This window comes from Homo sapiens, chromosome 15 (genome assembly GCF_000001405.40).
Source record: "Homo sapiens chromosome 15, GRCh38.p14 Primary Assembly".
Classification (NCBI taxonomy): domain Eukaryota; kingdom Metazoa; phylum Chordata; class Mammalia; order Primates; family Hominidae; genus Homo; species Homo sapiens.
In genome coordinates this window covers 89913752-89940546 of record NC_000015.10, presented here as the reverse complement: position 1 = coordinate 89940546, position 26795 = coordinate 89913752, and the positions used below count along the sequence as shown (strand labels likewise).

The 26795-nt window shown below is 43.9% G+C and overlaps 1 pseudogene; it reads right to left on the bottom strand.

Moving 5' to 3' along the window:
* Window positions 1–3340: 3340 nt before the first annotated feature.
* LOC100421368 (zinc finger and SCAN domain containing 5A pseudogene) lies at window positions 3341–4056 on the bottom strand (annotated as a pseudogene).

The window sequence follows — 26795 nt, the reverse complement described above, 5'->3', positions numbered from 1 at the left end:
TACAGGCGCATGCCGCCACAACCCACTCCAAGACTTATCTTTTATCTCTGATATTGTGAGATGTCACCACACTGTCACTGGGTACAGTTCATTTGTTTTTTTTTTTCTTTTTTTAATTGACAAATAAAATTGTACATATATGGTGAGCAACATGATGTTTTGAGATATGTAAACACTGTGGAATAGCTATATCAAGCTAATTAATGTATGCATTACTTCACATACTTATTTGTACTAAGAACACTTAAAATCTACTCTCTTAGCAATGTTCAAGTATATAGTACGTTGCTTTCGACTATAGTCACCAGGTTGTACAATAGGTCTCTTGAACTTATATTTTCTGTCTAACTGAAATTTTGTATCCTCTGACCAACATCTCCCCAGTCCCTGGCAAACACCATTCTATTCTCTGCTTCTATGAGCTTGACTTTTTTACAGTTCACATACAAGTGAGATCATTCAGTATTTGTCTTTCTGTGTCTGGCTTATTTCACTTCACATAATGTCCTCCAAGTTCATCCATAGCAACATAGAAAGACTTCACCTCTACAAAAACATTGTTTCTTAATTAGTTGTTGCAAATGACAGGATTTCCTTGTCTTTAAAGGCTGACGGGTGCAGTGGTGCCTGCCTGTAATCCCAGCACTTTGGGAGGCCGAGGAGAGCGAATTGCTTGAGCTCAGGAGTTTGAGGCCAGCCTGGGCAACATGGTGAAACCCTGTGTCTGCAAAAAAATACAAAAATCAGCTGGGCATGGTAGCACATGCCTGTAGTCCCAGCTCCCCGGGAGGCTAAGGTGGGAGGATTGCTTCAGCCTGGGAGGTCAAGGCTGCAGTGAGCTGTATTTGTGCCACTGCACTCAAGCTGGGGTGACAGAGTGAGACCCTATCTCAAAAAAGAATAAAAAATGAAAGAAAGAAAGAAAGAAAGGAAAGATGGAAGGAAGGAAAGAAAGAAAGAAAAGAAGAAAAGAAAGAAAGAAAAGAAAGAAAGAGAGAAAGAGAGAAAGAAAGGCTGAATAGTATTCCACTGTGTATGTATACCAACATTTTCTTTTTTTTCTTTTTTTTTCTTTTTTTTTTTTGAGACAGAGTCTTGTTCTGTTGCCCAGGTTGGAGGGCAGTGGCATGATCTCAGCTCACTACAACCTCCGTCTCCTGGGTTCAAGTGATTCTCCTGCCTCAACCTCCTGAGAAGCTGGGACTACAGGCACATGCCACCATGTCCAGCCAATTTTTTGTATTTTTTGTAGAGATGGGGTTTCACCATGTTAACCAGGATGGTCTTGATCTCCCAATCTCAGGTGATCCGCCCACCTTGGCCTCCCAAAGTGCTGGGATTACAGGTGTGAGCCACCACGCCCTGCCTATACCACCATTTTCTTTAACTATTCATCCATTGACAGTTAAGTTGATGACCTATCTTGGCTATTATGAATAGTGCTACAGGAAACATTGGAGTGCTGGTATCTATTTAACATACTGATTTCATTTCTTTGGGATATATAAATCACATATGGTAGCTTTATTTTTAAATTTTTGAGGACTCTCCATGGGTTTTTTTGTGGGGGAGACAGGGTCTTACTCTGTCACCCGGGCTAGAGTACAGTGGTGTGATCATAGCTCACTGCAGCCGTGGTCTCCTGTGCTCAAGCAATCTTCCCACCTCAGCCTCCTGAGTAGCTGGGTCCACAGGCACGTGACATCACACCCGGCAATTTTTTTTTTTTTTAAGTAGAGACAAGGTCTCAATATATTGCTCAGGGTGGTCTTGAACTCCTGAGCTCAAGCAATCCTCCTACTTGACTGGGATTACAGGTGTGAGCCACGTAGCCTAGCCATCTATCTATATATACTGTATTGTAGTGTATATAATTAATCTAAAGTCTCCCTGATTTCTCTGTTTCCTGAGTTTGGTATCTCTGTTTTAAGGTTGTGTTTTTCCTCAAATATTTTTTGATTCCTGGATGTGCGACTGTCTTTTGTATTTGAGCATCCTTGTTAGCTTTCACAGAAGACCTTGACAATGGGCTAGTCATAGGTATTGCTCACTTCTTGCTTCCTAAAGAGCAGAAAGTTAATTCAGTTTGGGCAATTGCATGTTCAGCCAGCTCAGGTAACAAATCATGATTGTTCTAAATCAATTGTTGTAATTCCAATTCCGTTTTTTTTCCAGCCTCTCTTGCAGCAGGGCTGATGTGTGACAAAGTTCTGGCCAATGAGATGTAAGTGGAAGCCTACTCAGGAATTTCTGGGAAAACTTTTACTTTATCATAAAAGGGACACTTTTATGAGTGAAAACTCAGTGACACCACATCTTTCCCTTCTTCCTTCGACATGATGTTGTGTCCGGAGTTGGTTCCTTCCAGTGGGTTTGTGGTCTGGCTGACTTGAAGAATGCAGCAGCAGACCTTTGCGGTAAGTGTTACAGCTCTTAAAGGCAGCACAGACCTGAAGAGTGAGCAGCAGCCAAGATTTATTGTGAAGAGCAAAAGAACAAAGCTTCCACAGTGTGGAAGGGGACCTAAGCAGGTTGCCACTGCTGGCTGGCCGGGCGGGGGGGGGGTGTGGGGGGGGGTGTGGAGGGGAGCTTTTATTCCCTTATTTGTCCCCACCCATGTCCTGATGATTGGTCCATTTTACAAAGTGCTGATTGGTCCATTTTACAAACCTTGGGCTAGCTACAGAGCGCCAATTGGTGCATTTTTACAGAGCACTGATTGGTGCATTTTACAAACCTCTAGCTAGCTACAGAGCGCTGATTGGTGCATTTTACAATCCTCTTGTAAGACAGGAAAGTTCTCCAAGTCCCCACTCGACCCAGGAAGTCCAGCTGGCCTCACCTCTCAATGTTATATCTGAAGTGCGGCAGCCATCACATGACCATAAGGAAGCTGTATACTAAGGATGATGAAGTGGAGAGGTAGAAAATCTGTTTTCTGTATAGCTTCCTTGAGTTAGAGACACTAAACCTGAAACCACCTATCTCTAGACATCTCGTGATGTAATTTAATTAAATGTCTTTTTTGCTTGAGTCATTATTAGTCAGATTTCTTATTATTTGCTAAACATTACTAACTAATGTGACCAGTGTGTGACACTGTGACTGTTTGCTACATCCTGAATCCAATTATTATGGTAGAGGAATGGGATACTTTGCTGGGTGGGTTGAGCAAGTAGCTTATGTTTTTCTCGTGTTGGTGGTCTTCCAGAGCACTGCCTTACTTTTTGAGCTCAAGTTTTCACCCTGCTACTCCTTTTTTGTTGTTGTTGTTACAAAATATTGAAAACTAATAAGATGTTTATTGAAAGAACAGCAACACAAGCCAAAATAAACCTATAACAATAGACATAATGAAACAAAAACCAAAATTCACTGGGGAGGAAAAAGATTTAAACAAACATCCTGGGAATTCCTATCTAGGGCACTCCTTTGTGTGCCAGGCGCCCATTATGTGTCAAACGTCATCTGATAACATCGGTGAAAAATCTTCATTCACACTTTCTTGGTGCAGAAGACATAGACCTGATGACGAAGTCACTGCGAAGTGGTTTCTGGAAGTGTTTTCTGGTGGCGTCTTAAGGTCGCGGGCCGACCGAAGGCTCTTGGACGCTTGGAACATATTTGTAGGATTTCTCTCCGGAGTGGATGCGCTGGTCCTCCTTCAGATTCGTCTTGTAGGTGAAAACTTTCTTGCAGTCTTTACATTTGAAGGGCTTCTCCCCTGTGTGGCTTCTCTTGTGGCACTTCAAGTAGGACTTCTGGGTGAACTGCTTCTGGCAGACGTCACACGTGTAGGGCCTCTCCCCAGTGTGGGTTTGCTGGTGAAATTGCAGGCCTATGCCCTGCCTGAAGCGCTTCCCACAGAGATTACATTGAAAGAATCTCTTTCCTGTGTGTGATCTCTTGTGGATGGCTAGCTTGCCTCAATACTTAAACCTCTTATTGCACACCTCACATGCAAAGAGCAGCAGTTCCTTAACTTCTTGGCCATCGGGGTGACTGACCGGGCCCGCAGGGCCTGGGGGATAGACTGAATTTATCTCAGCTTGTCCCTGTCACCCTGCTACTCCTGACTGCAGGCAGAGGCCTCTGCTGTCCTCTGTTTGGTACAAGCAGGGGAGGAAAGCAGGGAGCCAGACCCTTGTTCCTACTGTGATGCCTGAATTAACCACCTTCATGGTGCCCCAGAGCTTCCTCCTCTTCCCCGTATCTACCGTCTCCAAGCTTAGAGCCCCTAAGATGCTCTTGACTTGTAGAGCAATCTTTTCTTGCATGTGGTTTAGGCTGTGGTTTCCTCCTGTAGTCTAGCTTCATTCTCCTTCTGCCTTTCAGAGGTTCCTGATCATTTATGGTCTACTGAGAGCACTCTGTTTTCCAGTGTTGCCACTGTGTGTGTGTGTGTGTGTGTGTGTGTGTGTGTGTCTGTGTGTGTCTGTGTGTCTGTGTGTATCTATGTGCCTACTTCACATCTGATCCAAAAAGTGTGATTTGTATTCATGAAAAGAATAGGCCGGGTGCAGTGGTTCATGTCTGTAATCCTAGCAGTTTGGGAGGCAGAGGCAGATAAATCGCTTGAGCTCAGGAGTTCGAGACTAGCTTGGCCAACATGGCAAAACCCATCTCTACAAAAAAATACGAACATTAGGCAGACGTGGTGGTGTGTGCCTGTAGTCCAGGTACTTGGGAGGCTGAGGTGGGAGGATTGCTTGAGCCTGGGAGGCGAAGGTTGCAGTGAGCTGAGATCACGCCACTGCACCCCGGTCTGGGCAACAGAGCCAGGCCCTGTCTCAAAAAGAAAGAAAGAAAGAAAGAAAGAAAGAATAGTCAGCCTTATTTTTAAATATCTAAATTCTCTCTTCTAGGACTCTATCTGAAGAAATAGCAGAATTATAGTCGAAGTTTTATATTCAAAGATTTCCTTTCCAGCAGTATTTGTGTAATAGGATTAATATCTTACAAAGTATCAAAGAGCCTTTCCAAGTACAGAACCTTCTGTGTGTGGCTTGAAGCATCCAGCCTGCCTAGAGGCAGAAGAGGTGTGGGAAGTAAAAGTATTAAGGTTTACTAGAATTCATTATTTCTTTGAAATTGATACGTGTCCCTATAATCAATGTTTGCTGACAATAGCTGTTGGCCAGGCAGTAGTTTCGATATGGTTGTCATTGTCTGCATATATGAAAACTTGATCTGAAAACCTTCTATTAACACCTTCTATAAGATTAAAAGAAGAAAAAGGGACAGGAGGTGCAGCATAAAAACCTGCAGAATGAGGCCAGGCGCAGTGGCTCACGCCTGTAATCCCAGCACTTTGGGAGGCTGAGGCGGGTGGATCACTTGAGGTCAGGAGTTCGAGACCAGTCTGGCCAACATGGTGAAACCCTGTCTCTACTAAAAATACAAAAAATTAGCCAGGTATGGTGGCGGGCACCTGTAATCCCAGCTACTCAGGAGGCTGAGTCAGGAGAATCGCTTGAACCCGGGAGGCAGAGGTTGCAGTGAGCCGAGATCGTACACACTGCACTCCAGCCTGGGTGACAGAGCAAGACTCTTTCTCAAAAAATGAAAAACAAAAAAACTTGCAGAATGAGTGTCAACAGTTGGGAAGGCAATCCCAGAGGCAGTGGTGGAGCACTGGATGAAGAGATCCCGTATCAACAACTCTCTCAATGCACAGGCAGCAATGCTGTATAGAAAGACACGGTCATTATCGACTTTGATATGAAAAGGGGTTCAGAAGAATCAATGTCTACATCAGTCTCTTCTGTAAAGAAGTTATAGAAATACCTTCCAACTATTTCACTGAGATTTTCCTTTTTACATATGCACAAGATGATATATAAAAATATATGTCTAAATAAGTCTAAAAAGAGCTTTTTGAATGAGTGTAAACCAAAATTCTAAATAAGAATGCATTGTTCACAATTTAATTGGCAGTTTGTTTTTCTTTCTTAGGAGTACCTAAAATAACAGTGCATCTTACAACTGATGGTGCTAGTTGTGGTGAAATGCAAAATTATAGAAAGTATGAGGAGAGGAGAAGTAATTAATATCTAGTTCTGACATTCAAAATAGATTATGCAGCAAGACATTAGCCTTGCAAAATAGGTGTTTGTCTTAAGAGATCTTCCAAATTATTTTCTTTTGATCCTACGCACAGATATCCTTTAGCACTTCAACAACCAAGACCAGAGGACTTAGCCTGTAGAGTTGTCCCCTAAGTGGAAAAGAGAGCCCTTTCAGCCTAGATTGTGGGCCTCAAGGCTTGCTGCCTCGCTGGAGGGATGTGTGTGGCAGAGCAAGGTGGAAGCCTGCCTGTTTGAGGCCATGGGGAAAGTGGGAAGAAGAAAGCAGTGAAGGGCCGGGTTCGGTGGCTCACTCCCAGCACTTTGGGAGCCCAAGGTGGGCGGATCACTTGAGGTCAGGAGTTCGAGACCAGCCTGGCCAACATGGTGAAATCTCGTCTCTACTAAAAATACAAAAATTAGCTGGGCGTGGTGGTGCATGTCTGTAATCCCAGCTACTTGGGAGGCTGAGGCATGAGAATAGCTTGAACCCAAGAGGCAGAGGTTGCAGTGAGCTGAGATTGCACCACTGTACTCCAGCCTGGGTGACAGAGCAAGACTCCGTCTCAACAACAAAACAACAACAAAAAAAGGCAGCAAAGGAGGAGAGGGATTCAGGCAGAAATGCGACCAGAGTTAGAGAAGTCAGTAACTCAGCGATACCCATGGTGAGGGGGGCTTTGCCTCTCTTCTGCTTGGAGCCCCTGAAGGAGGCTGCCTTAGAGGAAGCCCTGTAACTCTCCGAGGCACAGTCTCATCAATTAAGGCACAGTTTGAGCAGGCAGAGCAAGGATCTGAGCTTCAGCCTTCCTGAACTTCTGTACAGCCCCCATGGGGTGAATGGGATCCTGATGTCACTAGGGTGGGCTGTGAAGTTGCCAGAGGGGATCACCCTGGATTCAGAAGAGGCCTGAGCAAACCCACAGCCAAAGACCCCTCGGCCTCCCTCCCACTCCTGCCCCTGGGATCTCAGCAGCCACAGTCCTGCCCCTAATACTCCCCGGCTGCCACTTGGGACAGGAGCGGAAGCTGGACTGCTTTTCTTAGAGAGACTGAGACCTGTGTATAAGGCTTACTGGATAGGACTAAGTTTTCAAGGTAACTTTTTCCCCCCACACTAACCAGAGAAGAGAACTTGGGAAGTAGAAAAAATAAAAGAACTGCATTTTTTTCTTTACATCCCAGATATAGTTGAGCTGCATTTTAAGACCCTGCTACATTTAGAAAAATGAAAGTGTGGAAACAAATATGTTGTGATAGGAGAATGATTTAACAAGTTACTACACATGCATAAAATGGATTTTTACACAGTTATTAAAATTATGTTTTTTAAATTTTGAATTTATTTAATTTAATTTAAAAAAACTAAATTATTCAATTTAATTTTTTTAAAAAACTAAATTAACTTAATTTTTTAAAAAAACTAAATTATTTAATTTAGTTTAATTTTTTTGGTTTTTTTTTTTTTAGATTTTAGAGACATGTATGTCTCTCTCTGTTGCTCAGGCTGGAGTGTGATGGCACAATCACAGCTCACCGTAGCCTTGAACTCCCGGGTTCAAGCGATTCTTATGTCTCAGCCTCCCAAGTAGCTGGGACTACAGACACCCACCACCATGCCCAGCTATTTTTTGTATTTTTAGTACAGACGGGGTTTCACCATGTTGGCCAGGCTGGTCTCAAACTCCTGGTCTCAAGTGATCCTCCCACCTCTGCCTCCCATAGTGCTGGGATTACAGGCGTGAGCCACCGCACCCAGCCCTGGCTAATTTTTTAAATGTTTTGTAGAGACAGGGTCTAGCTATGCTGCCAAGGCTGATCTTGAACTTCTGGCCTCAAGCCGTCCTTGAGGATCAAAAAGATAGAGTCCTTCTACAAGACCACTAGCCTGGACTCTGAAAAAAATGTCGATGACATGAATGTTAAAACAAGGCTGTGGGCTCTGAGCTCGGAGATGGTAGGTACAGGGAACAGAAGGAAGCTCTGGGACACCGGGAAGGTGGTTAATTCAGGCATCACAGTAGGAATAAGCGTCTGGCTCCCTGCTTTCCTCCCCTGCTTGTACCAAACAGGATAGCAGAGGCCTCTGCCTGCAGTCAGGAGTAGCAGGGTAGGAACTTGAGCTCAGAAGGTAGGGTAGTGCTCTGGAAGACCACCAACACTTAGGAGCAAGAAAAAGCTAAAAACATAAGCTGCTGATTCAAGACATCTTGATGGAGATGAGTGCTCCCAGACGATGAGGAAGATGACATTGAAGCAGCAATGCCAGAAAACAAATTGCCATTAGACAGTCTGGCAGAAGGGTTTCCATTAGTTAAGACTGCCTTGACTTCTTTTATGACATGGACCCTTCTATGATACAGGCACTGAAACTCAAGCGAATGGTGGAAGAAGGATTGGGACCATATAGGAACACTTTTCAGAGAAATAAAGAAGCAAAAAAGTCAGACCGAAATTCTGATGTATTTCTGCAAGTTGCACTGAGTGTGCCTGCCTGTCCTGCCTCCCCTTCCACCTCTTCCACCTTTGCCACCCCTGAGACAGCAAGACCAACCCTCCTCTTCCTCCTCCTCGGCCTAATCAATGTGAAGATGACAAGGATGAAGAACTTTATGATGATTTACTTAATAAATGGTAAATATATTTTCTCTTCCTTATGATTTTCCTAAAACATTTTCTTTTCTCTAGCTTACATTATTGTAAGAATACATCATATAATACATATAACATATAAAATAAGTAAAATGTTTATGCCATTGGTAAGGCTACCAGTCAACAGCAGGCTATTAGTAGTAAAGCAATTTCTGCTGTTCCAATAAAAAGAAAGAAAAAAAGTAGTTAAGTATCTGGAGAGTGAAGAGTTATATGCAGATATTTTACTGCACTGGGGAAGGGGGATGTCAATGCCCCAACCCCCCGCATTGTTCAAGGGTCAGCTGTATTAAATTGTAAACCTCTTTTTTTTTCTTAAAGAGATGAGGTCTTGCTATGTTGCCCAGACTGGTCTCAAACTCGTAGGTTCAAATGATCCTCCTGCCTTGGCCTCCCAAACTGTTAGGATTGTAAGCATGATCCACCACGCCCAGCCTAAAACGTAATTTCTTTTTTTTTTTTTTTTTGAGATGGAGTCTTGCTCTGTCACCCAGGCTGGGGTGCAGTGACATGATCTCGGCTCACAGCAAACTCTGCCTCCCGGGTTCAAGCAATTCTCATGCCTCAGCTTCCCAATATAGCTGGGATTATATTCTCACGTCACCATGCCCGGTTAATTTTTGTATTTTTAGTAGAGACAGAATTTCACCATGTTGGCCAGGCTGGTCTCGAACTCCTGGCCTCAAGTGATCCAGCCGCCTTGGCCTCCCAAAGCGTTGGGATTATAGGCGTGAGCCACCATGCCTGGCCTATTCACATTGTTGTACAACCATCACCACCATCCATCCATGGAACTCATTTCATTTTGCAAAATGGAAACTCTGTGCCTGTTAAACAACATCCTCCCTTCCTCTTCCCTCTGCCCCGGCAACCACTATCCTGCTCTCTGTTTCTATAAATTTGACTACCCTAAGTACCTTATGTAAGTGGAATCATAGAGTATTTATCCTTTTGCAACTGGCTTTTTTTTTTATCACTTTGCATAATGTCCTCTAGGTTCATCCATGTTGTAATATGTGTCAGAATTTCCTTTGTAAAGCTGAATGATATTCCATTCTGTTGTGTATACCACCTTTTGTTTATTCAATCATCTGTTAATGGATACTTGGGTTGCTTCTATGTTTTGGGTATTGCAAATAATGCCCACTATGAACGTGTATAGACAAATACCTCTTCGAGCCCCTACTTTCAGTTCTTTTGGATATATACCCAAAAGTAGAATTGCTGGACATATGGTGGTTCTATTTTTAATTTTTGAGAAACTGCCATACTGTTTTCTATAGTAGCTGTACCATTTTACATTCCCACCAACAGTGCACAAGGGTTTCAATTTCTCCACATTCAAACTTGAAGACTGATATATACAAACTTATCTGATGAACTAGAGTCTTCCCGCACATGCAGGAAAGAGAATGAAGCTCTGAAAGAAAATCATCATGTGTAAGGAAGATGCTGGCAGACAGGATACAGTAGCAGGGTCAGAGGGCACAAGGATTTCAGGGACCCCATGTGCCTGTGCAGGTCTACCCTGACTCAGACACTCCACGAAGTTCCTGTGGGTAACTGCAAAGCCATTTTTGTGTCGATACATTGATCTTTCTCTTATTAATCAATAACAGCTTCTCATATTTCCCAATTTGTCATTATATTCAGAACTAAATACAACCCTGAAAGTTTATTTGAAATGCCATCTTTGTAATATCCTTTTAAAAAAAGATATACTCTTTTTTTTTTTTTTTTTTTTGAGATGGAGTTTCGCTCTTGTTGCCCAGGCTGGAGTGCAATGGTGCAATCTCGGCTCACCGCAGCCTCTGCCTCCCGGGTTCAAGCGATTCTCCTGCCTCAGCCTCCCGAGTAGCTGGGATTACAGGCATGTGCCACCATGCCTGGCTAATTTTGTATTTTTAGTAGAGATAGGGTTTCTCCATGTTGGTCAGGCTGGTCTCAAACTCCGGACCTCAGGTGATCCACCCGCCTCGGCCTCCCAAAGTGCTGGGATTACAGGTGTGAGCCACCACGCCCAGCCAAGATATGAATACTCTACTTGCAAATATTTCTTGGTTTTTTATTTTATTTTTAAGTAAAAGCAAGTTTATTAGGAAAGTAAGGAATAAAAGAATGGCCACTCCATAGACAGAGCAGCCTCTTGGCTTTTTATACTGGTCCACTGATGTGTACATGTAATGCCATGGTTTACATTTTTTTAGTTTTATGAGATAATCTAATAACCAACAGGGCAAGTTCCCCTTTGTGAGTCCTATCAATCTGAACTTGAATTTTCCTGCTGCACTTATTTTTCTAGGTGTATCTATTCTAGAACGATTAGAGCCCCTGGAGTGACAATTGCCAGGGCTTAGGACATAATGATGCTGGGCCTCCCAGGCAGGTCTCTCTCTGCCCAGCAGGAACCTCCATGGTAATCACAGTCAGTGATGGTAACTTCCCCTAAGGTATTCCCATTATGCCAGACTGACTTGGCTCTCTCTTTTTTTTTTTTTTTTTTTTGAGATGGAGTCTCACTCTGTCACCCAGGCTGGAGTGCAGTGGCACGATCTCAGCTCACTGCAACCTCCGCCTCCTGGGTTCAAGCAATTGTCCTGCCTCAGCCTCCCAAGTAGCTGGGATTACAGGTGTACACCACCACACACGGGTAACTTTTGTATTTTTAGTAGAGACAGTGTTTCACCATGTTGGCCAGGCTGGTCTGGAATTCCTGACCTTAATGATCCGCCCACCTCAGCCTCTCAAAGCGTTGGGATTATAGGCGTGAGCCACCGCACCCAGCCAAGTGCCCTCTTTCAGTGGATCTCTACTGCTGCTCCACCCAATGCGGCTGACTGGACCAGAGCACCTGAAAAACTTCCCTGTTTCCAGGGACGAATTAAACCTTCTTTTCCCTTTGACTAGAGGTCTCCATACTGGGCGCAGGTCTGTCAGTGGGTGGCTGTGGTTTCAGAGGTGCCTGAGACTCCTGTCGGCTGGTATTACATTTTGTTCTTTATCCCTGAAGCTATCTGAAGACAGAGTTTTAGAAAATAATACTTTTCGTAGTCAAAGTTGGAAACATTTTAAGGCTGACTGTAAGGGAAACCCTTTGACAGAGCAGTGTGGCCAGTGTGATTTCTGTGGGCATTGACTCAGGGACCTTCTCCCGGCTCCTCTGCTCTAATTACTGGATATCGTTCTGCCTGATCAGACAGACAGGCTGTCTGCTTGGACATCTGGTCACATTTCGATGGTATTTAAATATTTATTTGTCTTATCTCTGAGGATTAGAATGTCAGAATCAGGGGTTTCTCTTAGAGCTTCCACTGCAAATATTGATCTAAATGAACAAATCCTCAATGTTCATAAAGAAACAGGCTCCTTTGCTAAATGGGAACAATCTTGGAGAAACTCTACCCTGGTATTTCTGCTTTGAGGGCTAGCGTTAGGGAGGTATCCTGTCAACATTACCTTGCGAACTGTCATACTTGCACCAAATATCAGGGATCAGGGAGAAGTAATCATTTCCCAAATTCTGTCCCTCAGCCAAGTCATCCACATCCTGTTGTAGTCAGGTTATGTTGACTGGGAAGAGTAAGGGTCTTCAGAATCCATTTGTAACATTTGCTATATGAAATTATGTTGGTTGGGCAGGGTGGCTCACACCTGAAATCCCAGCACTTTGGGAGGCCGAGGTGGGCGGATCACCTGAGGTCAGAAGTTCAAGACCAGCCTGGCTGACATGGTGAAACCCCGTCTCTACTAAAAACACAAAAACTAACCAGGCATGGTGGCAGGCACCTGTAGTCTCAGCTACTTGGGAAACTGAGGTGGGAGAATCTCTTGAACTCAGGAGGTGGAGGTTGCAGTGAGCTGAGATGGTGCCACTGTACTCCAGTCTGGGAGGCTGAGGTGGGAGGATCACTTGAGCCCAGGGGTTCCAGACCAGCCTGGGCAACATAATGAATCCTCATCTCTACAAAAAGTAGAAAAAATTAGCTGAACATGGTGGCGTGTGCCTGTAGTCCCAGCTACTCAGGAGGCTGAGACAGGAGGATTGCTTGAGCCTGAGGAAGTCGATGCTGCAGTGAGCCATGATCACGCCATTGCACACTAGCCTGGATGAGAGCAAGACACCGTCTCAAAAATTTTAAAAACTGGCTGGGCTCAGTGGCTCATGCCTGTAATCCCAGCACTTTGGGAGACTGAGGCAGGTGGATCACCTGAGGTCAGGAGTCGAGACCAGCCTGGCCAACTTGGCGAAACCCTGCCTCTACTAAAAATACAAAAATTAGCTGGGAGTGGTGGCAGGCACTTGTAATCCCAGCTACTTGGGAGGCTGAGTCAGGAGAATCGCTTGAACCCGGGAGTTGGAGGTTGCAGTGAGCCAAGATCATGCCACTGCCCTCCAACCTGGGCAACAGAGCAAGACTCTGTCTCAAACATAAATAAATTAATTAATTAAATTAAATAATTAAAAAATTAGCCAGGATTGGTGGGAAACACCTATTGTCCTAGCTACTCAGGAGGCTGAAGCAGGAGGATTGCTTGAGCCTGGGAGTACGGGATTATAGTGAGCTATGGTCACACCACTGCACTCCACACTGCACTCCAGCCTGGGTGACAGAAGGAGACCCTGTGTCTAAAAAAAAATAAAAAATAAAAATGTGAATGCCTCAATGCCACATAAATGTACACTTAAAGATAGTAAAGATGGTAAATTTTGTTATGCATATTTTACCACAGTTGAAAAAATAAAAAATTGGCCGGGCGCAGTGGCTTACGCCTGTAATCCCAGAACTTTGGGAGGCCGAGGCTGGCAGATCACGAGGTCAGGAGATCGAGGCCAACCTGGCCAACATGGTGAAACCCCGTCTCTACTAAAAATAGAAAAAAAAAAAAATAGCCGGGTATGGTGGCAGGCGCATGTAGTCCCAGCTACTCAGGAGGCTGAGGCAGGAGAATGGCGTGAACCCGGGAGGCGGAGTTTGCAGTGAGCCAAGATTGTGCCACTGCACTCCAGCCTGGGCGACAGAGCAAGACTCTGTCTCAAAAAAATAAATAAATAAAAATAAACAATAAAAAATAAAAAAAAGCAAGGGACTGATAAACACAAAATTAGGATGGTGGTTACTTTTAGTTGGGGGAGGATGGGGATGGAAAAGGCAAGAAGCCATGGATAGTTATTGGCGATAGTTATTTGCAATAGTTATTGGCAATGTTGTAGTTGGGTGGTGGAGAGTTTATTATAAAAAGTATTATTATTATTTATTACTATTGCAAAAATAACCATGTATGGGGCAAATAATGACAGTGGGCTCTTTAAAATTTTTTTTCAAGTTTTTAAAAATTATACTTTAAGTTCTAAAAATTTTTTTAATTTAATATTTTTTTTTAGGCAGGGTCTCACTCTATTGGCCAGGCTGGAGTGCAATGGCACGATCATTGCTCACTACAGCCTTGACCTACTTGGCTCCCCTCCCACCTTCACCTCTCAGAGTGTTGGGATTTCAGGCATTCACCACTGCACCCAGCCTATAATGTGTTCTTAATTAAGAATTACAGTCTTTTTTTTTTTTTTTTTTGAGACAGAGTCTTGCCCTGTCACCCAGGCTGGAGTGCAGCGGCCCAGTCTTGGCTCACTGCAACCTCTGCCTCCTGGGTTCAAGCAATTCTTCTGCCTCAGCCTTGCAAGTAGCTAGTAGCTGGGATTACAGGCTCCCGCCACTATGCCTGACCAATTTTTGTATTTTTAGTAGAGACAGGGTTTCACCATGTTGGCCAGGCTAGTCTCGAGTTTCTGACCTCAGGTGATCCGCTCACCTTGGCCTCCCAAAGTGTTAGGATTATAGGAATGAGCCACTGCACCCAACCTACAGTCTATTAATTACATGCACTTGAGGCTCAAAAAGTAAAAGTCATTTATAAAATGTGTGATAATAAAGAGACCATAAATCACCCATGATTTATTAGCTCTTGCTAATATTTTTGCAGTCTTTTTTTTTTTTTAAAGTGGAGATGGGATCTCATTGTTGCCCGGGCTGTCTTAAACCCCTGGGCTCAAGCAATCCTCCTGCCTTGGCCTCCCAAAATATTGGGATTACAGATGCGAACCACCATGCCCAGGCTTTTTGTAGTCTTCATATGTGTGTGTGCTAAAATTGGAATGTGGAACATTCTCTTTTGTAACTGTGTTTTTCATCCAACAGCAAATTGATAATATTTTTGTATGCCATTAATATTCTTTGACAGCATTTAAAATATAGTCATACAATTCTATTACATGGATATACCATAGTTTATTTAAATAAATGACTAGTGTTAAAATTTAAATTGTTTCTATCATTTCCCTATTATAAACCTGCTGGAATGAATATCTTTGCAGCTTGATCTTTGCATCTGTTCCTGATTCTTTGGGGAAATTCACGGGCATGGAATAGTTAAGGCAAGGATATAGTAAAAAAATTAAGGCCTTTGATACCAAAATAGTCAAGTGATCCTCAGGAAAGGTTTGCCAATACTTATTCTGACAAATAAAATACACAAACAACACATGAGTCCATTTTCTCGTATCCTTATCAACGATGAGCTTTATGAGTTTTTAAATCCTTCCTGAAATATCTTATTTCCCTGATGTTTTAATTTGCATTTATCTGATTACAACTGAGATTGAATATTAAGATGTTTTCACAGTTTAAATATTAACTAGTTTTTAATCGAAGAAGTAATTTATGTACATGTTAAAAATATCAAACAGCATAAAAAGTACACTACAAAACATAAGTCGCCTTCCCGCCCTGGAGCCCCAGTCCCCCAGAGGCAGCCACCATAATCAGTTTCTTGTTTCTCCCTCCAGAAATATTATGTACATAAAGAAGCAGGCCAGTCATGGTGGCTCACAGCTGTAATCCCAGCACTTTGGGAGGCCGACGCAGGCGGATCATGAGGTCAGGAGTTCGAGACCAGCCTGGCCAACATGTTGAAACCCCATCTCTAAGAAAGATACAAAAAAGTAGCCGTCATGGTGGCACATGCCTGTAATCCCAGCTACTCGGGAGGATGAGGCAGGAGAATAGATTGAACCTGGAAGGCAGAGGTTGTAGTGAACCGAGATCACGCCACTGCACTCCAGCCTGGAATGCAAGACTCCATCTCAAAAAAAAAAAAAAAGAAGTATACATGCAAGAATAAATGCATTTATATACATATATATACAGTTTTTTATGCACTGAGAACATGTTTTCAGAATAAAATACAAATTCTGAGCCCTGCCTACCACTCAGATCTCATCTATGCTGGACTCCCTAAGAGTCACTGTGCTCCATCAGCCTTATTTCTTTGCGCCCTCAACACTTTACATTGTCTCTTGCCCCCTGGCTTTTGTTCTTGCAGGTCCCAGTGCCTCAACTCAAAAGGCACCTTCTAGAGAGGTCTTCCCTGGCTACCTGTCTCCTGACCACCCCAGTGCACGCAGTCTCTCCCTTCCCCATCCCTTTGTTGAGTTTTCTTCATAGCATCTACCACTGCCTGAACCTCTCTCATTTCTGGGTTGCTTTATTTGTTCATTACCCCTCTCCTCTACCAGGGTGTCTGCCTCATGACAGCTTGGATCTGATCTGTTCGGTTCACCTCTATATCACCTAGGACAGTTCTCAGTAGAGAGGAAGTCCTCCGTTAATATCTTTTTTTTTTTTTTTTTTTTTTGAGATGGAGTTTCACTCTTGTCGCCCAGGTTGGACTGCACTGGCGAGATCTCGGTTCACTGCAACCTGCGCCTCCCAGGTTCAAGCAATTCTCCTGCCTCAGCCTCCTGAGTAGCTGGGATTACAGATGCGTTTCCCCACTCCCAGCTAATTTTTGTGTATTTAGTATGGGGTTTCACCATATTGGCCAGGCTGGTCTCGAACTCCTGACCTCAGATGATCCGCCCGCCTCAGCCTCCCAAAGTGCTGGGATTACAGGCATGAGCCTCTGCGCCAGGCCAATATCAATTAAATAAGTGGCTGCTGAGTACACTGTACTGTACTTTGCTGCTTTCAGTTAACAGTAAGTGAAATCATTTAATATTGTGCATGCACACACATACGTACAGTATGCCATGTATGCACATGCTTCATTCTTTTTTATGGTTGCATAGCCTCTCTTTGAATTGATATTTCATTATTTGTTTAGCCAGTCCCCCACTGATGGACATTTAAGTTGTTTCTAGTATTTTGCTATTTCAAACAATACTCACGTACATGTCATTTCGCATTCAAATATTTCTTTTTTAAATAATTAAATTAATTATTTTTATTTTTATTTTTATTTTGTTTGAGCCAGAGTCCCACTCTGTCGCCCAGGCCGGAGTGCAGTGGCACAATCTTGGCTCACTGAAACCTCCGCTTCCTGGGTTCGAGCAATTCTTCTGCCTCAGCCTACCGAGTAGCTGGGATTACAAGCGTGTGCCACCGTGCCTGGCTAATTTTTGTATTTTTGGTAGAGACACGGTTTCACCATGTTGACCAGGCTAGTCTTGAACTTCTGACCTCAAGTGATCCACCTGCTTCAGCCTCCCAAAGTGCCGAGATTACAGACGTGAGCCACCGCACCCGACCAAATTAATTAATTTTTGAAACAAGGTCTTGCTCTGTCACCCAGGCTGGAGTACAGTGGCACAATCAGCTTCAATCTCCAGGGCTCAAGCAATCCTCCCACCTTAGCCCCCCGAGTAGCTGGGACTATGAGCACACGTCACCACGCCTGGCTAATTATTAATTATTTGTAGAGATGGAGTCGAACTATGTTGCCCAGACTTGTCTCAAACTCCTGGGCTAGGGCGATCCTCCCACCTTGGCTTCTCAAAGTGCTGGAATTACAGGTGTGAGACACCGAGCTGGCCTTTTTTTTTTTTTTTTTTAATAGCTGAAACTTTAAGTTTTGTTTACAACAGCCATCCCAGGCCTGGCACAGTGGTGCTACAAAAAGTTTAAACATTACCTGGAAATGGTGGTGTGCACACCACCATTACTGGGGAGGCTGAGAGTTGAGCCCAGGAATTCAAGGCTGCAGTGAGTTACTCCAGAGTGAGATCCTGTCACTTTAAAAAAAAGGTCAGGCACGGTGGCTCATGCGTGTAATCCCAGCACTTTGGGAGGCTGAGACGGGCAGATCACTTGAGGTCAGGAGTTTGAGACCAGCCTGGCCAACATGGTGAAACCCCCATCTCTACTAAAAATACAAAAATTAGCCAGGCATGGTGGCACATGTCTGTAATCCCAGCTACTTGCGGGGCTGAGGCACGAGAATCACTTGAACCTGGGAGGTAGAGGTTGCAGTGAGCTGAGATCACGCCACTGCACTCCAGCCTGGGTGAGAGAGTGAGACACCATCTCAAAAAAATAAAAATAAAAATAAAAATATGAGGAAAGAAATAAAAAAGGAAAAGCCATCCACAATGAAACTATTAAAGTTATTTATTTATTTATTTATTTATTTATTTTTTAGTATTTTTACAGTTCTTTTAAATTTGTATCACTTATCTATTTGAGAGTCAATTGTCCTGATACACTTTGGACCAACTGAAATAGAATTGGATCAAAACTCCATTCACTGCTTAACTTCCATATTCCTTTATTAAGAATGCCATGATGGCATTTCAGGTTTCCTGGTATCAGCGTCAGCTCAGACCCATATTTAACAATCCTTTAAAATTATGGGCCAGGCGCAGTGTCTCAGCCTGTAATTCCAGCACTTTGGGAGGCCAACCGGTCAGATCACTTGAGTCCAGAAGTTTGAGACCCACTTAGGCAACATGGTGAAACCTCATCTCTACAAAAAATACACAAAAATTAGCTGGGTGTGGTGGCATGCACCTGTAGTCCCAGCTACTTGGGAGGCTGAGGTGGGGGGATCACCTGAGCCTAGGAGGTTGATGCTTCAGTGAGCTATGATTATGCCACCGCACTGCAGCCTGGGCGACAGAGTGAGACCTTGTCTCCAAAAAAAAAAAAAAAAATTTTTTTTTGAAAAAAAGCATCGGGCTGGTGGCTCATGCCTGTAATTTCAGAACATTATGGGAGGCTGAGGCAAGAGGATTGCTGAGCTGAGGAGTTCAAGACCAGCCTGAACAACATAGTAAGACCTTGTCTCTATTTAAAAAATTAATAATATAAATAAAATTCTGGGTAGTCTCTTTTCCCTTGTGCAGTTATTTGATTAAATGACCATGATCCCTCTAGGGGCAAGTCTAGAGAACTATTTTTTTTTTTTTTTTTTTTTTTGGAGACGGAGCCTCTGTCATCCAGCATCCAGGCTGGAGTGCAATGGTGCAATCTCGGCTCACTGCAACTTCTGCCTCCCGGGTTCAAGCAATTCTCCTGCCTCAGCCTCCCAAGTAGCTGGGACTACAGGTGCATGCCGCCACACCCAGCTAATTTTTTGTATTTTAGTAGAGACTGGGTTTCACTGTGTTGCCCAAGCTGGTCTCGAACTCCTGAGCTCAGGTATTCCACCCGCCTCAGCCTCCCAAAGTGCTGGGATTACAGACGTGAGCCACCACGCCCAGCGAGGACTATTTACATATATACATGTGATGGTGTTCCTCGAGGGGGCACAGCCTCTCCTTCAATCAATGGACTCTGTGTCTGAAAACTGACTCAGGCCTGGAAATGGATGAGGGAGTGTAATTTTCTATTGTAGTGAGCATCAGTCTTTTACCCATCAGGTCTAGTTTTTGTTTTTATTTTTATTGAGACCGAGTCTCACTTTATTGCCCAGGCTGGAGCACAGTGGCATGATCTCAGCTCACCGCAACCTCCGCCTCTTGGGTTCAAGTGATTCTTGTGCCTCAGCCTCCCGAGTAGCTGGGACTACAGGCGTGCGCCACCACACTGGGGTAATTTTTATATTTTTAGTAGAGACGGGGTTTCGTCACATTGGCCAGGCTGTCTCAAACACATGACCTCAGATGATCTGCCCGCCTCGGCCTCCCAAAGTGCTGTGATTACAGGCATGAGCCACCGTGCCCAGCCTGTGTTTGTTTTTTAATACAAATTGAACATCATGCTCAGAGGCAGTCCACCTATCTTGACCCTGGTACCATAAAGCTTGTCCAGGCATCCTAATTGCCTACTCTAGCCTGGCTGCTCCTTCTGACAATTACATCTACCTTGCCTGGCAGGTAAGTGTGGCCACTAGGCCCCTGCCATTCCCAAATCCCATCATCTCCTTTTACTTGGGAGTCTAGTTCCATGGTAGTATCTATTCTATCAACCCCACAGGGCATCTCAAAGATACCTGACTTCCCTTGTTGCCTCTGGGCTGCCTGGGTATAGTTAGATGGTGGGTCCTCAGGTCCTAGACAATAAATCCATTTTAACATTGCTCTCTCCCTGAGTCTCATAACCTCTTCTTCAATACTGTCAAGGAAGTTCTGGCATCTCCACCTAATTGTTGTGTGCAAGTTTCATATTCAAGTTTTCCAGTTCAGGCTTTTCAGGGTTTTCAGGCTCATCCACCCCAGGTCCCCAGCCCAGGGCCTCACTTTTTTCCTAGAGGAGCCGTGATTTGACAGGAGACCTATCAAGGCTGCACACTCAGGCTTCTTTGACAGCTCTGTCGTCATCAGATACTGAGCCCGATTTTTAGCAGTTGTCCCTGAAGCTTCAGGAAATGAGTCTCCTTAAAAACTGCCACAAAGCTCCCCATGGCTATTTTTTTTTGAGACAAAGTCTTACTCTCTCATCCAGGCTAAGGTGCAGTGGGATAATCAGGGCTCACTGCAGCCTCTATATCCCAGGCTCAACTGATCCTCCACCTCAGTCCCCGAAATAGCTGGGAACCACAGGTTTTTTAATTTTAGTAGATATGAAGTCTTGCTATGTTGCCCAGGCTAGTCTTGAACACCTGGGCTCAAGCAAGCCTCCTGCATCAGCCTCCCAAAGTGCTGGGATTACAGGCATGATCAACACCATGCCTGGCTCCTCTGGGCTCTCTTAATCACTACTTCCCCTTCCACAAAGATAACTTCCTTGCTTTTCTTTTAGAATATAACCACCCAAGCTTTTATTTCCAAACAATATAGTTTAGTCTTACCTAACTTTTTAACATTGCATAAATGAAACGATATAATCTACAGCTCTATGAATTCTTTAGTGACTATCTTCTTTACTACAACATTCTATTTATGACAGTCCTCATGTTGTGAGTTGCAATCAGTCATTCATTTTTATGGCTGTATCATATTCCATCGTAGGACTACATGCCAATTTATTTATAAATTCTACCTTCTCTAGACATTTGAATTGTTTCCAGTTTTGAACTATTATGAAGAGTGTTGCTATAAATTTTCTTTCTTTCTTTCTTTTTTTTTTTTTTTGAGACAGAGACTCGCTCTGTCGCCAGGCTGGAGTGCAGTGGTGCAATCTCGGCTCACTGCAACCTCTGCCTCCCAGGTTCAAGCAATTCTCCTGCCTCAGCCTCTTGAGTAGCTGGGACTACAAGCAAGCGCCACCATGCCCAGCTAATTTTTGTATTTTTAGTAGAGATGGGATTTCGCCATGTTGGCCAGGATGGTCTCCATCTCTTGACCTCGTGATCCTCCTGTCTCAGCCTCCCAAAGTGCTGGGATTACAGGTGTGAGCCACTGCACCCAGCCTCTATAAATTTTCTTGTATATATCTTTTTTTTGAGGTGGAGTCTCGCTCTGTCTGCCCAGGCTGGAGTGCAATGGCACAATCTCGGCTCATTGCAACCTCCACCTCCCAGGTTCAAGTAATTCTCCTGCCTCAGCCTACTGAGTAGCTGTGGGTTTACAGGCGTGTGCCACCATGCCCGGCTAATTTTTTATATTTTTGGTAGAGACAGGGTTTTACCATGTTGGCCAGGATGGTCTCGAACTCCTGAACTCAAGTGATCCTCCTCCTTTTTTTTGAGATTTGGTCTTGCTCTGTCACCCAGACGGGAGTGTAGTGATGCAACCAGAGCTCACTGCAGCCTCCATTTCACTGGCTCGGGGTCCTCCTGTCCCAGCCTCCTAAGTAGGTGGGACTACAGGGATAATCTACCAGGCCCAGCCAATTTCTTTTATTTTTAGTAGAGACTAGATTTCACTATGTTCCCCAGACTGGTCTCAAACTTCTGAGCTCAAAGGATTCTCACACCTTGTGTGTTGGGATTACAGGTGTGAGCCACTGCACCTGGCCTTGTCTATATCTCTTGGTGTACATATGTAAATGTTTCTATTGGTTGTATACCTGGGAGTGGAATAGCTGGCTCATAAGGTTTGCCTATGTTCGGTTTTCACAGATACCAAAACAGTTTTCTAGAAACTGATTTGAGTAATAAATAATAAGGCTCTGGTCTCCCGCAAAAAAAAAAAAAAAAAGTTTTCTAAAATGATTGTATCCTGTCCCCACACCCGGCCTCCCCATGGCTTGTACATATCTAAAGTTGGCTGTTAGCTATCCTGAGACTATCATTTTCTTTTTTGTAAGGTTTCAATGCTGTTAATAAAAGCTGGTCTACCCTACATTTCTTTTCTTTATTTTTTTGATGCAGAGTCTCACTCTGTTGCCCAGACTGGAGTGCCATGGTGCAATCACAGCTTACTGCAGCCTCAAACTCCTGGGCTAGAATGGTCTCGAAACCCACCTCAGCCTTCTGAGTAGCTAGAACTACAGGGATATTTCACCATACCCAGCTAATTAAAAAAAACTTTTTTGTAAAATTACCAGTTTCAATAATAGCTAAAAGTGTTCAAAATGTTAATAAAGGTTTTTGTTGCTTGGCTAAATAAATAAATAAATAAATTTTGTAGAGACAGGGTCTTACTGTGGTGCGTGGGTTGGTCTTGAATTCCTGGCCTCAAGTGATCCTACCTCCTTGACCTCCCAAAGCACTGGATTATAGGCATGAGTCACCACACCTGGCCAAATAAAAGCTAGCCTACTCAACATTTCTTGTAATGATCATTGCTCCATACCAGTCAAATGCCACAGATGCCCCGTTTACCTGCCCAATTTCACTCTCCACCTACAGCTCACCCCCAATGAACTACAGGTGAGAACCTTAATAATTTTGTTGCCACTTCGTGCCAAGGGTTATCATGAACCACTTACCACTAGTAACAATGCTCATATTGCTGTCATGAGGGATTGTTTCCATGTGAAATCAGTGGAGCCCTAGGCAGAATTGATCACTACAGAGAGGTGAAGACAGAATAGGTCAAAGGCCTGGGAAGAATGTGAGGCCAAGAGGCTCTGAATGGCATTAAGAGATGTTTGATCTAGGCCAGGCATGGTGGCTCATTCCTGTAATCCCAGCACTTTGAGAGGCTGAGGCGGGTGGATCACCTGAGGTCAGGAGATTGAGACCAGCCTGGCCAACATGGTGAAACCCTGTCCCTACTAAAAATACAAAAATTAGCTGGGTGTGGTGATGCACGCCTGTAATCCTAGCTGCTTGGGAGGCTGAGGCAGAATTGCTTGAACCTAGCTATTGGGAGGCTGAGGCAGGAGAATTGCTTGAACCTGGGAGGTGGAGGTTGCAGTGAGCTGAGATCACACCACTGCACTCCAGCCTGGGATACAGAGCAATACTCTGTCTCAGAAAAAAAAGAAAAGAAAAGAAATAGATGTCTGATCTAAAGGCATATCATAGATTTTCTTTCCAAACTAGGCTTACTCCATTTGCATTTATTGATGTGATGTGATGGATAGGTTTGGACTTCATTCTGGCATCATGTTATGCTTTCTCTCTTCAGCGATTTCTTTGTTTTTCTTTCGCTCTGTGGTGTGTATGTAATTTCTTCAGGCTTTTTTTTCACTGCCTTGGTGGCAATTTGGCATGCTATTTCTTCTGGAACCACCAGACTTTGTCAGGACAAGATGTGTCAGATATGCTAAGATGCGATCTGATGCATACAGTCTAAGACTCCACACACAAATGCACTTTCTGTTTGTTTTACTGCTAGACATTTGTGTCCTACACAGGAATCCTGATAAATTTGATTTTGCCTGATGCCCATCAAAAGACAGGGAGAAAAATGGTTGGTATGTGTATAATTACATGCGCAGTTTTAGGGAAGACATTCCTGAGAGAACTTTGATTTTGACTACAGTTAAGGAGAATCTTCTGCTTATAATTTCATCTGTCTGATAACTGGAAGAATTTTCTTTTCTTTTTTTCTTTTTTCGAGACAGAGACTCGCTCTGTGCCCCAGGCTGGAATGCAGGGTGCGATCTCAGCTTACTGCAACCTCTGTCTCCCCAGGTTCAAGCGATTCTCATGCCTCAGCCTCCTGAGTAGCTGGGATTACAGGCGTGCACCATGACATCTGGCTAATTTTTGTATTTTTAGTAAAGACAGGGTTTCACCATGTTGGGCAGGCTGGTCTCGAACTCCCAACCTCAAGTGATCCGCCCACCTCAACCTCCCAAAAGTGCTGGGATTACAGGCGTGAGCCACTGCGCCCGGCCCAAAGAATTTTCTACTACACACCAGCTTCTGGCACATTATGATTCACACTTTGTTCCTTCTCCAGCACCCACAAAATCTCAGTGCCAGGCACTGTAGGGCACATTTCTACTGAGATGTGACCTCTGGCCCTGCTCCTTCATGTCACCCACTTTGTGCTCTGTGCCAGATGAGTTGGCACAGAGGGAGGTAGGATATTTCTACACCAGGATGGCTGGCTATAATTTAATTATAGGTGGAGAAGAGTACAGACCACATAAATGTATTCCACTAAACCCAAACTAAATGTATTCCATGTCAGTTTCCCCTCATTCATATTTTACACCACCATCACTTGACATGAGGCAAAAGAGAATTCTGAGCAAAAAAGTAGTCTCTGCTTGAAGCAAAATTGCCTTAACTATGAAAATTTTACAAAAGCGGATGCCCATGTGAACACATTATGAGAACCTTCCAACACTGGCCTCAATAGGGGCTCATGGAACTGAGAGGCCCAAAGTTTTGGTGTCTGTAGCTGTAAATTTGCTTCTGCTAACAATTAAAAAAAAAAAGAGGGCCGGGCACCCTGGCTCATGCCTATAATCCCAGCACTTTGGGAGCCTGAGGCAGGCGGATCACCTGAGGTCAGGAGATCGAGACCATCCTGGCCAACATGGTGAAACCTCGTCTCTACTAAAAATACAAAAATTAGCGGGGCATGGTGGCACATGCCTGTGATCCCAGCTACTCGAGAGGCTGAGGCACAAGAATCGCTTGAACCCAGGAGGCAGAGGTTGCAGTGAGCCAAGATTGCGCCATTGCATTCCAGCCTGGTGACAGAGCAAGACTCCATCTCAAAAAAAAAAAAAAAAAAAAAAAATTAGCTGCACGTGGTGGTGCACGCTTGCAATCCCAGCTACTTGGGAGGCTGAGGTGGGAGAATTGCAGAGGTTGCAGTGAACCAAGATTGCACCACTGCACTCTAGCCTGGGTGACAGAGTGAGACTCTGCCTCAAGAAAACAAACAACAAAAAACTGGACATTTTGGAAAGTTTGATGATGAGGAGGAACACAAAGCAAGAGGAATTAGTGTAGGAATCAAATGTTGAATGGTGTTAATCGAAGATAACTTGATACTGTCTCCATGGTACCTTGTGGTTTATAATTTAATATAGAGACATTATTAAACTGCAAAATACATGGAAGAAAGTCCAACAAAATTCTGGGGTTTTTTCCCGTGATGATTGATGCTTTTTAGGAAATAAATGTCAAAACCTTTCCAAAAATTTTCCTTTTCTTCTTTTGGGTTCCTCTGTCTTGCTGGTGCCTGGCCTGCAGATTGTGCCGATGGGGTGAAGTTGCAGAGCCTAATAAGCAGATGACTCTTCCTGAGAGGATTTAGAGCAGCCCTGTCCAATACAACTTTCTGCAACAAAGAAATGTTCTGTGTCTTGTAGTCGCTAAACACACGTTGCTATTGAGCACTTAAAAATGTGGCTAGTGAAAGTGAGGAATTGAGTTTTACATTTAATTTAGGTTTAATCAGTTAGAATCGAAATTTAAGTAGCCACATGTGGCTAGTGGCTACCATGGATGGCTGTGCAGTTGGAGCCACAGTGAGGGGGAACGTGACACAGAAAAGGGAAAGAGGAGGAGGACATGCCAGCCAGGTGGCTGTGAGCAGCTGGAGGGTTTTGAGCAGAGAGGGCCAAAGGACAGTTCTACCCAGAGGGGCTTTCCAGTAGGGCTTTTCTATGTTTTTCCTTCTCAGACATACACCGGGCAGCCAGGTAGGCCAGCTAGGAGTGGGGCTGACTCATCCATTAGGCCCATCATACTTTTAGCGGTCCACAAAATGTTTTTATTCTTTTAAAATTTAAATTTAATTTCATTAATTTTTTTTAATAGACAGGGTTTCGCTATGTTGCCTAGGCTGGACTCAAACTCCTGGGCTCAAGTGATCCTCCCACTTCAGCCTCCTGAGTAGCTGGGACTACAGGTGCTCTTTCTTCCTAAAAATATGTTTAGTAATGGATGATTGGATGCAGAAAAAAAAATATATGTTTAGGTTGAAGAAAACACTTTAGACTGGGAGCAGTGGCTCAGGCCTGTAATCCTAGCACTTTGGGAGGCAGAGGCAGGTGGTGACATGAAGTCAGGAGCTTGAGACCAGCCTGGCCAACATGGTGAAACCCCATCTCTACTAAAAATACAAAAATTAGTCGGGTGTGGTGGTGAGTGCCTGTAATCCCAGCTACTCAGGAGGCTGAGGCAGGAGAATCACTAGAACCTGGGAGGCAGAGGTTACAGTGAGCCAAGATTCACCACTGCACTCCAGCCTGGGCAACATAGGAAGACTGTCTCAAAAAAAAAAAAAAAAAAATATATATATATATATATAATTCATATATTCATCTTTATGCCAACCCAGTGGTAAGATAATAATTTTTTAAAAAATTTTTAATGGAGAAAGGGTCCTTTGAAAACAAAAGTGCCTAGGACCCAAGAAAGTCATTGTCTGTGTGTGTGTGTGTGTGTGTGTGTGTGTGTGTGTGTGTGTAGCAGGGAAGGGAGAGGGTGCTTTCTTCTTCCAACATTGACAGCTCATGCTAGACTCCTAGGCACCTGCCTGGCCACCACCCCCTTTAAATGCCGCCC